The sequence below is a fragment of the Homo sapiens genome, chromosome 12 (genome assembly GCF_000001405.40).
Source record: "Homo sapiens chromosome 12, GRCh38.p14 Primary Assembly".
NCBI classification, from domain to species: Eukaryota; Metazoa; Chordata; class Mammalia; order Primates; family Hominidae; genus Homo; species Homo sapiens.
This window is the reverse complement of record NC_000012.12, coordinates 43,748,386-43,762,658: the sequence shown is the minus strand read 5'-3', so window position 1 is coordinate 43,762,658 and position 14,273 is coordinate 43,748,386. Positions and strand designations below refer to the sequence as shown.

General features: G+C 40.0%; 2 protein-coding genes across 30 annotated transcripts in view, besides 3 other annotated features; one reads left to right on the top strand and one right to left on the bottom strand.

Annotated features, from left to right (window-relative positions):
- Window positions 1–3,708, bottom strand: part of IRAK4 (interleukin 1 receptor associated kinase 4) — a 30,591-nt gene extending 26,883 nt beyond the window's left edge. For 6 of the 19 annotated variants that reach the window (NM_001351340.2, NM_016123.4, NM_001145257.2 and 3 more), the window contains exon 1: window positions 3,643–3,708. The gene's annotated coding sequence lies outside the window, so the exon portion shown is untranslated. Of the gene's footprint in view, window positions 1–1,686; window positions 1,735–2,672 lie in introns of all 19 variants that reach the window. The other 13 variants (XM_017019390.3, NM_001351339.2, NM_001114182.3 and 10 more) reach the window with 7 other exon arrangements.
- Window positions 3,002–3,061: an enhancer, noted in NCBI's record as "active region_6219". NCBI's record gives its function as "activates an Ori minimal core promoter by ATAC-STARR-seq in GM12878 lymphoblastoid cells {active_cell/tissue: GM12878}" and the evidence as "EXISTENCE:reporter gene assay evidence [ECO:0000049][PMID:35858748]".
- Window positions 3,682–3,791: an enhancer, noted in NCBI's record as "active region_6218". NCBI's record gives its function as "activates an Ori minimal core promoter by ATAC-STARR-seq in GM12878 lymphoblastoid cells {active_cell/tissue: GM12878}" and the evidence as "EXISTENCE:reporter gene assay evidence [ECO:0000049][PMID:35858748]".
- Window positions 3,869–14,273, top strand: part of PUS7L (pseudouridine synthase 7 like) — a 39,799-nt gene continuing 29,394 nt past the window's right edge. For 6 of the 11 annotated variants that reach the window (XR_944748.2, XM_011538791.3, XM_006719623.3 and 3 more), the window contains exons 1-3: window positions 3,869–3,929; window positions 7,398–8,323; window positions 14,050–14,209. Coding sequence is in view for 10 of the 11 variants with exons in the window: in XM_011538791.3 (XP_011537093.1) it covers window positions 3,910–3,929; window positions 7,398–8,323; window positions 14,050–14,209 (1,106 nt within the window). In the remaining variant the exon portion in view is untranslated. Of the gene's footprint in view, window positions 4,374–7,397; window positions 8,324–14,049; window positions 14,210–14,273 lie in introns of all 11 variants that reach the window. The other 5 variants (XM_047429625.1, XM_011538790.4, NM_001098614.3 and 2 more) reach the window with 4 other exon arrangements.
- Window positions 4,132–4,181: an enhancer, noted in NCBI's record as "active region_6217". NCBI's record gives its function as "activates an Ori minimal core promoter by ATAC-STARR-seq in GM12878 lymphoblastoid cells {active_cell/tissue: GM12878}" and the evidence as "EXISTENCE:reporter gene assay evidence [ECO:0000049][PMID:35858748]".

Below are 14,273 nucleotides of genomic sequence, written 5' to 3'. Positions count from 1 at the left end.
CTGTTTATGTGTTTGCTTTCTCTGTTAGATGGGTGCTCTCCTGAGCTAGGACCCAACCAAATTCACCTCAGCAACGACTCACAACATTTGTGTTGAATGAAAGGCTGATGACTTTTTAACTTTAATTAAGAAATTGTATCTAGGTTGCCTATAGACTCTGCAGTTGCTCTCTTCAAGTTATTTTTCCTTACTAAGATTTCTCTCTACTGTAAGGTACAACATGATTGACAAAGCTAGACAAGATAGAACTGCTTAGTAGTCTTATAAATTAGAGCAAAATACAAGGAATTGAGGAAAAAACCCAGACTATCTAAAGGCCAGGGATAAATTTGGTAGCTCTCCTGCACCCAGGCTTCCAGCAGAGGTGATAAGTGTAGGGATACTAGGAAAAAGAAGGCCTTCTGCAACTCCTCCACACATGTGCCCAGAAGTTCAAAATCCCAGAAATTAAAATTTTACTTTAAATGTATATTCATATACCACTCCCAACCACATACTTACAAGAACATAAGCCAAAATATTAACGTGGTTATCCCTTGGTGATGACTTTTATGATAGTTTTGTTTTCATTTTGCTTTTCTGAATTTTCAATAATGAAAACAGACTGGGCAAAAAAAAACTTAAAAAGTGTCATCTCTTTCAAATTCTTCAAGATTTACTTTAGTACACTTAGGATTAACACAGGTGGAACAGGATATGTTGCTTACAAATAAGTAAATACCTTCATGACTGTTTCCTCATACCACTAACTCTCATAGTAAAGAAAACCCATTCATATTTTCAAGTAAGACAATTCAGACAAGTGTAAAAGGTGGGGTGGTGATTGAGAAATATATTAAAATAAGCACCTGCTTATGGAATCCAATGCCTTCCCAAAGTACTGTGCCCAAAACAGGAGGGCAAAAGATTCTTGTCAAATGTGTTAATAAAGTTTTAAGACTGCTTCATTAGCACTTTGATCAGAGGAAAAGATTGTGCAGGGGTGGAGGGAAGATGAACTTTGAGGTTGCACAGGCCTAAGTTCTAACCAAAGCCAACTGTGACCAGAGCTAGTAAATACATTTCTCTGCACCTTGCTTTTCTTTATCTGAAAAACAGAGATAGTAATACCTAAGAATTGCTGTAAGAATTAAAATCAACACATGCAAAGGGCCAAATCTTGTCACATAATAATAGGTGGTCAAAAAAAAAAAGGAGCAATTATTATTTCCTGGCAGAAATTATTCTTATATCACATTATTTTTAAAGATATGTGCAGACTGTATTTAGGTTCAATTTCCAGAACAGTAGTGAGGATCTACTGAAAGCGTACAAATAACAAGTCTGAGAAAATAGCTAAGCTTTTGAGATGGTGGCTGTCTTATTTGATCAACCATGGTAATTTTAATGTATTTATATCCTTTCTAAAATACACTATTTACTTCCATATATTCTTAGCAAAATATGCTGTATAACCATTAATCTTTATTTTTAGATACTTTAACATCATCATTATGAACAAAAGCTGGTGAGGGCTTCCAGAGCTATTAAATTAGATAGGGCTGCCTATTACAAACTGGGATATGTGCTGGTGTACCATAAATTAAACTTAACATATCTTTCTTGAACATTGATCCAACACAACAGTAAGTAATTGAAAATGCTTTGCATATATTTAAAAAACAAAATATAATACCATTGACTCACCAAATATTTACTGAGTGTCTACTTTGTGCTAGATACTGCTCCAGGCCCCTGGAGATGAAGCATTAGGAAAATTAGAGAAAAAAAACAAAACAAAACCAAAACCTGAATTCATGGAGTTTATATTCTAATGGAGGAAGGAAGGCAATAAGCAAATAAATAAACTCTATAGTATGTTAGATGGTGCCAAGTGAAATGAAAGAACAAAACGAAATAGAGAAAAGGTTGTAATTATAAATATGGTAGTCACAGGAAGCCTCAATAAGAAGGTGCCATTTGATTAAAGGTCAAAAAGAAGGAGAAAGCCAGCCACTGGACTATCTGTGGGAAAAGTTTGTGGACAAAACGAAATGTAAATGCAAAGGTTGGAACTGGGCCCACTGGGCAACAGCAAGGACATGGTGAGACTGCAGAGGAGGGAACAGGCAAGTAGCAGATGAGGTCAGAAAGGTAAAGGGGCCAGGTCTTCAAGGGCCTTAGAGTTTTTGTATTGACTTTGTTTATCCTCTGGGTGAGATGTAGATGCTGGAAGTTTTGAGAAAAGAGACATGCTCTGTACTCATGTCTTAGAAGGATACTGGGGCTGCTGGGAATAAAGGATGTTGGAGTAAGGACAGAGAAGCAAGAAAGAAGCATTTAGGAGAGCCTACCAATAAGCCAGGTGGGACGTGCTGCAGGCTGGGACCAGGGTCGTAGCAGAGCAAGTGCAGAAGTCCTAGGATTCTGAGGTGGAGCCAATAGAAAGCTATGGGCTGATGTGGAGAGTGAGAAGACAGCATAACCAAGTTTACCGATATTTACTGAGATAGAGAAGGCTGAGGAAGGAGCAAGTTTGGCCTGGAATATCAGAAGCTCAGTTTGGAGAGGTAGAAAGCAAACTTCAAATGAACGCTCTGCAGGAAAACAGAAGAAATTTGAACTTCCCGATAGCCCTCTTCAAGGACCACTCCAAGAAAGGGAAAAGGCAGATTTTAGTATCCTCTGCTTACCAGGGGCCTTGGGCAGTTACGTTTTTGAAGCACTAATAGCGCCGTTTGTTCCCATTCTAAATGCTCAAAGTGCTTTCTCGCTTTCTCAGGGTTTGCTTTTTTTTTTTTTTTTTTCTTTTGAGACGGAGTCTCCCTCTGTTGCCCAGGCTGGAGTGTAGTGGCACGATCTCGGCTCACTGCAACCTCTGCCTCCTGGGTTCAAGCGATTCTCCTGCCTCAGCCCCCGGAGTAGCTGGCATTACGGGCGCCCGCCACTATGCCAGCTAAATTTTGTATCTTAGTAGAGACAGGGGTTTCACCATGTTGGCCAGGCTGGTCTCGAACTCCTGACCTCAAGCGATCCGCCCGCCTGGGCCTCCCAAAGTGCTGGGATTACAAGCATGAGCCACCGCACCTGGACAGGGTTTGCTTTTATCCCTTTGTCTCCCTCTGGCTTCCAAGCTGACAGGTACACTTTTTTCCCCCATCTGCGAATGTACTCATCTGATCCCATAAGCCGCCTCCACTTTCTAATTCCCTGGAAGCTTGGAGGCCGGAGAAACAAGCGAATTACAATCGTGTGGAGGCTCAGCGAGCTGCTGGCGCCACAGGCATCTGTCAGGTGCTGGCCTGACTTCCTGGTTCTGGGGAAAAGAGACTTCATTTCGCAGTCGGGTTCACGGAATCCAGGGCCTGAGAGGTGAGAAACTTGAGGTCCGACTGCGCCCCAGAACAGCTGGGTGACGTCCCTCCAAGCCTCAGGCTCTTCCTCAGGGCCGACGAACTTCTTGATTACCGGGGACCTACCCAAGTCTTTCTTCTGGAGTAAGCTCTGTCAAAGGAACCCACTTCCTCTCTAACTTTTCTCACGGATGATAAAGAGATTTCCGTTCCGCAGCCGACCCCAGCAACCCTGGGGCAGAGGTGCCGAGGCCTGGAAGCGGACCTCGGACGACGTTTGACCGAGGCATTAAGGCGGGGAATGCCTTACCTGCCCGGGCGCGGGCTGCTGAAGCCGGCGACAGAAGAACCAGCCGAACTAGGAAGCGCCGCGAAGGGGCGGGGCCTGCCGGGTTGGCCCCGCCCCACTTCCCCGATGGGCTTCATCTTGGCGCCTCCAGGCGGCTCCACAAAGTGAGAAACTCCACGTATTGCGTAGGGCGCGTCTTTACGTGGGCGCCTGCCCCTTTAATTACGCCCCTGTCGGAGGCTGAAACACTTAAGGCTTCCGGGCATGCGCACAGCGTTGTGCAAATGAATGCCTTCCACTGAACCGAGGTAGACGGGGTCGAGTTTCTTGCGCGATGGTGGGCTTGTATGTGTGTGTGTGTGTGTGTGTGTGGGGGGGGGGGGTGACGAGGTTGGCATTGAGGATCCATACCCTTTGCGCCCAAAGAAAGGTGACGTGGACTAGTGTCGTGCCTTTGGACAGGCAGAGTAAGAGGAGGGAGAAGAAACAGGTAGAGCTGCTGGCCTTGTCGGGGACACCTTTGGACGTGCTGGAGGGCAACGACGCCCTAGTTTTCTGTGAAGTTAAGTAGCTTCTGCAGGACTGGGTTCAGTATTTCTAGTACCTTCTCAGGATCCCTCCTCCGCCAACGAATTCCTCAACCACGGGCCAAGCAAACTACTCCCCCGCCCACTGTCAGCAGCAGTCTCTGTTGAATGGGAATACTGCACCTTCAGGCTTAACGCCACGTGGGCTCCTTTGCTGTCCTCCAGGTCAGTTCCACTCTTCTACCAGGATGCTGGAATTACATTCTCCCCAAGTTTCCCTACCTGTTTCACTTGCTTAGAATGTCTGTCTTCCTCCTTTTTTCTGGGAGAAAGAAAAGATCATTATTCTTTCAGGGCCAATCCCTACAGCTATGTTCTTGACCATGCTGTTTTGTTTTTGAACTCCTCTAACTGTTACTCCATCGGATACATCTTGCTCATTTCCATCAGAATCATCTTACAATTCCAAAAGCATGTTTTGGAATTGTGTCACTTTTCTACTCAAACACTAACAGTAGCCATCCATTGACCACCCAATAGATTCTAAGTCCTTGTCAGGGCATTCAACATCTTCCATAATCTGGTACTAACTCAGCTACATTTTCCAGCACTGTAGTCTCCCTGCATTCCCATCCCCACTGCTCTGTATCTGGACTGCTTGTTTTTCTTGCACACATTGCATGTTTTGTTTGTACATTACTTGTGAGGTCTCTGCCTCATTTCTATCTCTTGAACTATGGAGGACTTAGATGGCCACTTCTTGCATTATGCCTCTTCTAATTATCTTCCACTTCATTCCTACAGCTCTTATTTTGTACTAGTTATTTCATTTATTTAACAATAGTATTTATTGCAGACCTACCATGTGCTTGACACTGTTCAAAATGTGTGATCATCAGTAGTAAATAAGGCAGACAAGGTTACTCCTCACGTGGAACTAACATTCTCTTTGGAGGAGATATACAATAAATAATAAAGAAAAACTTTACCTAGAACTGCTATGCAGAAAATTAAATAGGGTTTTGTGAAAGAGAATCACTTGCTGGGCACGGTGGCTCACGCCTGTAACCCCAGCACTTTGGGAGGCCGAGGCGGGTGGATCACGAGGTCAGGAGTTCAAGACCACCCTGGCCAATATGGTGAAACCCCATCTCTACTAAAAAAATACAAGAATTAGCCGGGCGTGGTGGCGCGCCCCTGTGGTCCCAGCTACTCGGGAGGCTGAAGTAGGAGAATCGCTCGAACTCGGGAGGCGGAGGTTGCAGTGAGCCGAGATCATGCCACTGCACTCCAGCCTGGACGACAGAGTGAGACTTCGTCTCAAAAAAAAAGAGAATCACTTGCAGGTTCCTGTAGATTATTGGTCAGGAAAAACTTCTCTGAGGAAATGAATCCTAAAAGATGCAGCTATATGATTGGGGAGGGAACAATTTAAACAACAGGAACAGTTAGCACAAAACTATTGAAGAAGGCCAGAGTAGCTGGAGTATAGTGGGTAATGGGGTAAAGGTACAAATGAGTTTGGAGAATAAGCAGGGTCCCTAATCTTAGATGTCCTTGGAAGCCAGGGTGAGTAATTTGGATTTTATTGCAAATGTGACTAGAGGGTTTTAAACTGGATTGTGATATGATTTAATTTACCTTTTAAGACCATTCTGGCTGGTTTGTGGGCTAGTTATAGAAGCAGGAGTTAGGGACCTTCACAATATCTAAAAGTTTTTGGAATGGAAGTATTAAAGTTGGTGTGATAAAGGACATTGGGAGTCATAAGAATCAGATGCTTAAGGTTAATGCAGTTTTTGGAGATGAGAAAGTCAAAGTTATGACCGTGACAGTGGATGACCAAGATGAAGTAGAGGTGTGAGGTTGAGGTTGAGATTGAGGACTTGAGGGTCCAAGACATTGAATGGATGATCCATATAGATGATCATAAAAATCATGTTGGATAAGAAGGTAGTGAGCCAGAGATCAGTGAATGAAGCAGAGTTGTCTGGGGATCCGAGAGAGGATGACAGCAGATGGTAAAGCCCAATGGCAGGCTCTTCAAAAGAATTGGGGTTTTTGGAGGTAGTAGAGGAAGAAATGGCTTGCAACGAACAGTGACAAACATAGACCAATATTTACAGCCTCCAGGTCCTAAGGTAGATGGGTGGGAAAGAAAAAATAGCCTTTACTTGAGAGGACTGAAGAAGAAGCAGCCTGAAGAAATAGCCAGATTTCAATTAGGGCAAGAAAGTGAGGGAACTGTACAGGAAATTAAGTAATTAAGGAAAGTAAGTATATCTTATATATTCCTTAGGAAATTAGGATATGGAGAATTTGTAGTGATTTCTATATGGCATGATGGAAAGGATTGAGAAGGTGTGATTTGCTAAATTGGTTCAGATTAGTAGAATACATTATAGGTATGAGATGATGGTCCAGATGATGATAAGTTACTTGGAGAATGTGGGGGAAACACAGAACTCACTAGTATGGGGCCCCTGGGCAATTTATCTTTCCTGCAGCTCCATATGGTATGGTAGCCATGGGTTTGTGTGAAAAGTGAGAGATCAGAGTACTATTCTCTTGCATAGTGTTTCCAGGAAGCTCTGTAAGGGTTTCTTCTGTCTGATGCCAATGATATAGTTAGAACTTTCCTCTGGCTCAACCTTGAAAGCTTCTATTTGTCCTAATGGGGGCATTAGAGAAGGCCCAGGACTGACTTAATCCTACCTTGAAATATAATCAAATCACAAATTTGTATTTAGAACTTCATTTACCCATCAGTTTTCCTATTGTCTTTTTGTCACCTCTCCTGTCACTAACCACTAATAATATAAGAAAACTTAGCCACATGTTCTCTGGAATTAGCTGGAAATTTTAGGCTCCAGGAATGGAATTTGGACAAATCTTTGTTTTATAGTCCTGTGTTCTCACCTCTTCTTGTGAGCCTACAAATGATATTTTTAAGATAAAATTGACTCATTTTAATCCTGGATAATAGGTACAAATCTGGAGTGAGTGAAGATACAAGTTAACAAATCTTTAGCTATACCAGAAATAGTTTGCCTATTAATTCAGCTTGGTATAGGAGAGTCAAAGTACACAGGAAGTACATATAGTTATAAATTAAGTTAATGATACCATTTAAGAAGACTCAGAATTAAAAGAGAGACAGAATTAACTAAATCCTGCAAACCTATTCCTATTTGGTCATCCATAACTTCTCTTTCTGTTAACTAACCACCTCTTTGTTTTGTTTTCTAGGCACTGTTATAGAAGAATGGAAGAAGATACAGATTATAGAATCAGGTTTAGTTCTTTGTGTTTCTTTAATGATCACGTTGGATTTCATGGCACTATAAAAAGCTCACCAAGTGACTTTATTGTTATTGAAATTGATGAACAGGGACAGTTAGTTAATAAGACCATCGATGAGCCTATTTTCAAGATTAGTGAAATACAACTTGAGCCAAATAATTTTCCCAAAAAACCAAAACTAGATCTTCAAAATCTGTCCTTAGAAGATGGAAGAAACCAAGAAGTTCATACTTTGATTAAGTACACTGATGGTGACCAAAATCATCAGTCTGGTTCAGAAAAGGAAGATACTATCGTTGATGGAACTTCCAAATGTGAAGAAAAAGCTGATGTTTTAAGCTCCTTTTTGGATGAAAAAACTCATGAGTTACTGAATAATTTTGCCTGTGATGTAAGAGAGAAGTGGCTTTCTAAAACAGAGCTAATTGGACTACCTCCTGAATTCTCAATAGGCAGAATCCTTGACAAAAACCAGAGGGCTAGTTTACACAGTGCCATTAGGCAGAAATTTCCATTTTTAGTAACTGTAGGAAAAAACAGTGAAATTGTTGTAAAACCAAATCTTGAATATAAAGAACTTTGTCATTTGGTATCTGAAGAGGAAGCATTTGACTTTTTTAAATATTTGGATGCAAAGAAAGAAAATTCCAAATTTACCTTTAAACCTGATACAAACAAAGACCACAGAAAAGCTGTCCACCATTTTGTCAACAAAAAGTTTGGAAACCTTGTGGAAACCAAATCTTTTTCTAAAATGAATTGCAGTGCTGGTAATCCGAATGTGGTGGTAACAGTAAGATTTCGGGAAAAAGCACACAAACGTGGGAAAAGGCCTCTTTCTGAATGCCAAGAAGGAAAAGTTATATATACAGGTAATTTAATAAATCATCATCCATTTTCTTGGATAAGCTTAGCTAAATTTAAAATTGTGAAAATGAATTGAACAGACTTGGCTAGAGAGATTGGAAAGAATATATGATTTACCTTTAGGGAGAGGAATTGCTGATAAGCAATTTAAGCAACTCTAGGAATTCTTATTTATTCTGTTACTTACTAGAAGATGATAAAACCTTTTAAATTACACTGAATTTAAAAATTAGCCTTACTGATAACCTAGGCATTTATATTAGCCTATTCACAAATGTATAAAGTTGAAGCAGTTGGTTCGTGTTTAATAAGTTTTATTGAAGGTAAATCTTGATTTCATATTTTGGAAGTCATCTCAATTAAAATTAAGTTTTTAGAGACTAGAAGAATATATTTACTGTGCTTGGGAAAGTGAAGAGATACTCTGTAATCCAAAACAAATTATATTTCCCTACCCAAGGTAGGGAACCTGAAAACTTGGTCCTGCTGGTCTTTAGACAAGATGTTCTGAAACTTTAGCATGCATATAATCATCAAAAGTTCTTGTTAAAACAGATTTCAGAGCTCCATTCTCAGTTTCTGATTCTGGGGCTTTCACAGATTTCCAGGCAGTGTTTTTTCCTGGTCTGCTATGTTTTGAGAATCACTGTTTTAGGGTCTGTGTTTAATTCCCATGGTGGCTGGAACTGATGAACTCTCACTGTAAAAGTCCAGCTGACTAGGTTTAATTGGCCTCAATTCTACTTGAAGGATGGGAACTGTTTCAGATGATCATATTTAATAAATTTATTTAGCAAGATATTTTAAGATAAAACCAGGAACCTAAATTTGCACAGTGACACAGAAATAGGATGGTGCCATGTAGGGACTACAGGTGCAAATGAAAAGAGTTTGGACCTTGGAACTATGTGGGTTTGATTTGATATTATGACTTTTAGTTCACAAAAAGACTTATGAAATTTTTAACATGTTTAAGATTTGATTTCACAAATGTAAAAATGGGAAGAATAATACCTTGGGCAAGTTACTTAATAATTCATAACTTTTGGTTGTACTTGAAAAATAGGGTAATAGGAAAGCCTGACTCACAATGATATTCGAAGGATTAAATGAAATAATGAAATTGTTTACTATGTAATAGTTACTTAATATTAGGCATATAGTAAGTGTTAACAGATATATCCATTTTGAAGGAAAAACAATACTAGCTTTACTTGTAGAAAGAGGAATTGCTGGTGAGTGATTTAAGCAGCTCTAGGAATTCTTATTTATCTTATACTACTTGAAATTCTAACAATATTAATTTGGGTTAATGAGTAAAAAAATTATAGAACTTTATATATTAGTTTAAATTCACTTTTCTAAAGTTGTGAATAGTTGGAGGCATATGTTAAAAGGAGGAATGATGGTTCAAAAAACCTTTTATTTTTAATTTTAAATTACATTAAAATATACATAACATAAAATGTACCATCTTAACCATTTTTAAGTATCAGTGGCATTGAGGACAGTCACATGGTTGTACATCCCTCACCACCATTCATCTCCAGAATTTTTTCACCATCCCAAACTAAAACTCCATATTTATTAAACAATTCTTCCTCCTCTCCAGTTCTGAAAAATGGGAACCACCATTTTTCATTCTGTCTCTATGGATTAGACAACTCTAGGTGTCTCATATAAGTGGAATCATACAGTATTTGTCTTTTTGTAATGGGCTTATTTCACTTAGTATGTTGTCGAGATTCATCTATGTTGTAGCATGTGTTAGAATTTCCTTCCCTTTTAAGGCTGAATAATACCCCATGGTAGGTGTATGCCACATTTTGCTTACCCATTTGTCTGCCAGTGGATGGGATATAATGGTCAGTAAAGCACACGTGATATTTACTTTGTAAGCATTCAGCCTTGGAACTTGGAAAGAATTTGAGGGAGAATGTGGATGTGAGGTGACTTCTGAGGCTAGGTCATAAAAGTATTACACTTCTTGTCATGTTCTTGGATTGCTCACTCTGGGGAAAGCCAGCTGCTATGCTGTGAGGATACTCAAAACAGCCCTTTGGACAGGAACTAGAGCTTCATGCCAACAGCCAGTACCAACCTTCCAGCCACGTAAATGAGCCCCTTTGGGAATGGATCCTCCAGTTTCTTTCAGGCTTTTAAATAACTGCAGCCCATCAGAGTGAACAGGCAACCTACAGAATGGAAGAAAATTTTTGCAATCTACTCATCTGACAAAGGGCTAATATCCAGAATCTACAAAGAACTCAAACAAATTTACAAGAAAAAAACAACCCCATCAAAAAGTGGGCAAAGGATATGAACAGACACTTCTCAAAAGCAGACATTTATGCAGCCAACAGACACATGAAAAAATGCTCATCATCACTGGCCATCAGAGAAATGCAAATCAAAACCACAATGAGATATCATCTCACACCAGTTAGAATGGCGATCATTAAAAAGTCAGGAAACAGGTGACAGGTGCTAGAGAGGATGTGGAGAAATAGGAACACTTTTACACTGTTGGTGGGACTGTAAACTAGTTCAACCATTGTGGAAGACAGTGTGGCAATTCCTCAGGGATCTAGAACTAGAAATACCATTTGACCCAGCCATACCATTACTGGGTATATACCCAAAGGATTATAAATCATGCTGCTATAAAGACACATGCACACGTATGTTTATTGCAGCACTACTCAGAATAGCAAAGACTTGGAACCAACCCAAATGTCCAACAACGATAGACTGGATTAAGAAAATGTGGCACATACACACCATGGAATACTATGCAGCCATAAAAAATGATGAGTTCATGTCCTTTGTAGGGACGTGGATGAAGCTGGAAACCATCATTCTCAGCAAACTATCGCAAGGACAAAAAACCAAACACTGCATGTTCTCACTCATAGGTGGGAATTGAACAATGAGAACACCTGGACACCGGAAGGGGAACGTCACACACTGGGTCCTGTTGTGGAGTGGGGGGAGGGGGGAGGGATAGCCTTAGGAGATATACTTAATGTAAATGACAAGTTAATGGTTGCAGCACACCAACATGGCACATGTATACATATGTAACAAACCTGCATGTTGTGCACATGTACCCTAGAACTTAAAGTATAATAATATATATATATAAATTAAAAATAAATAAATAAATAACTGCAGCCCTAGCCACATCTAACTGCATGCAACCTCAGGAGAGCCTGAACTGGAACCACCAAACCAAAGAGTTCTTGAAGTCCTGATCCACAGAAACTACAGGAGATAAATGAATATTGTAAGCCACTAAGATTTGAAGTGACTTGTTACGCAACAATAAATAATACATAGCATTTAACCGTAGACATGCATAAATTACTGATCAGCAACAAACTCAAGGAACGATTTATGTAGATTTCTGGAACTTCTTCTCTACAAAGCTTTGTCTTATCAGGTACTCTCCCTGTGAATTCCAGCCCACTCAGCCTTCCTGAATTCCAATATCTACCCTCCTAACTCAGCAAAACTCCTGTGCTCTACCTGGATTCTGTCTGTGCTATGTTCCAGAATGTACTTCTAGGCAGAAAATTAGAGTATTTTAGGATTCCCCTCATTTGTTTTTCTTTTCTTTTAGATTACAGTTTTGTGGTACCTATTTGCCAGTCTCTAAAGATGGCTGTTTCATATGTTTTGTTCAGTGTTCTATTTGTTTACAGTGGGAGGTCATCTGGTGTCAGTTATTCCAACAGGGCTCAAAGTGGAAGTCTCTAAAATTGAATTTTAAAATTCAGTGTAATTGACTTTGTTTTTAAATATGTAATTGTTCTAAGTAATTAAGAAAATGTTATAAATCTTATACATTAAACTTATAAATTTAGTGACCCTTAAGATTTTGTAAATGTTCCCATATTGCTTACTAACTTAAATAAGATTCAATGTAAAAAGACAAATTAAATCAATTAAATATTTTAAATTGGAACTACAAGTTTCATTCTCTTAAACATTCAAGTGCATAAACTTTTATGTAGATACAGATTAATATTAATACAATATCATGGATTTGATTTTGTTAAATATATTTCTATACTAAATTCTAAATCTTTATGGGTGAAAAAATGCTTATCCACCTAGGCTAGTATCAGCAACAAACTGATAAACAAGCTGGGGATTTCTTTTAAATTGCTGAGCTTTTTGAATGACATGTCCAAAATTGTTAGGGCGAATGGCTGCTGCTGTTGGACCTTCAAGAATGCATAGAAGTAAGACAAATAATAAATGGAAGGAACACATTTTATTTTTTAATTTTTATGTTAGTTTCAGGGGGTACATGTGCAGGTTTGTTACAAGGGTATATTGTGTGATGCTGAGATTTGGGGTACGATGGAACCCATCACCCAGGTAGTGAGCATAGTACCCAACAGGTAGTTTTTCAGCCTTATGCCCTTCCTCCCTCCTACCTCTTATAGACCCCAGTGTCTATTGTTTCCATTTTTATGTCTATGTGTACCCAGTGTTTAGCTCCTACTTATAAGTGAGAACATGAGGTGTTTGGTTTTCTGTTCCTTTGTTAATTCACTTAGGATAACGGCCTTTAGCTGCATCCATGTTGCTGCAAAGGGCATGATTTTCTTTTTAGTGGCTGTGTAGTATTTCATGGTGTATATGTACCACCTTTTTTTCTTTGAGACAGGGTCTCGCTCTTTCACCCAGGCTGGAGTGCAGTGGCACCATCGTGGCTTGCTACAGCCTCGACCTCCTAGGATCAAGCAGTCGTCCCACCTCAGCCTCCTGGGTAGCTGTGACCATAGGTGTTTGCTAACTTTTTAATTTTTTGTAGAGATGGGGTCTCCATATGTTGCCCAGCCTGGTCTTAGATTGTTTGCTCTTGAAATCCTTCTGCCTCAGCCTCCCAGAGTGCCGAGATTACAGGCATGATCCACAGTACCCAGCTACATTTTCTTTATCAGATCCACTGTTGTTGGGCACGTAGGTTGATTCCATGTCTTCGGTATTCTGAATAGCGCTGCAATGAACATACAAGGGGAACACATGTTTTAGACAGAGGACTTAAATGTACGAAAGTACAAAACTGTTGAAGGCTCTAGTTAATCCAGGGATTACAAGAAGTTCTCTGTGGCAGGGTTACAGGATATGTGAAGGGAAGTGGTGCACTTGGAGACAGGAAAAGTGGATTTGGCCAGATATGAATACCAAATTAAGGAATTTGGAATTTTTTGCCTGTAAGCCTTCAATGAGCCAACCAGCAGTTTAAAAATAACAGCTGAAATCTATCATGCTGATTTTATATTTTCATTAAAAAGTACTCCTTACGGCTGGGCATGGTGGCTGACGCCTGTAATCCCAGCACTTTGGGAGGCCGAGGCAGGTGGATCACGAGGCCAAGAGATCGAGACCATCCTGGCCAAAGTGGTGAAACCCCATCCCTGCTAAAAATACAAAAATTAGCTGGGCGTGGTGGTGTGTACCTGTAGTCCCAGGTACTCAGGAGGCTGAGGCAGGAGAATCACTGGAACCCGGGAGGCAGAGGTTGCAGTGAGCCTAGATTGCGCCACTGCACTGCAGCCTGGTGACAGAGTGACACTCCATCACAAAACAACAACAACAACAACAACAAAACTCCTTAGATTAATAGTTTGATTTATTATACTAATCTGTTAGCTAAGAATGTAATTGATGTATGGTAGCTGCTTTTTTTGTGATCTAAGTTTTTTTTTTGTTTCAGCTTTTACCCTACGAAAGGAAAACCTGGAAATGTTTGAAGCGATTGGTTTTTTAGCTATCAAACTTGGTGTTATTCCTTCGGATTTTAGTTATGCAGGCCTTAAAGACAAGAAAGCCATCACCTATCAAGCAATGGTTGTTAGAAAAGTGACTCCAGAGAGGTAATAAGATATTAAGAAATTTTAGGATAGAAACTTTGAGAAGTGGAAGATTTAAATTGTCTAA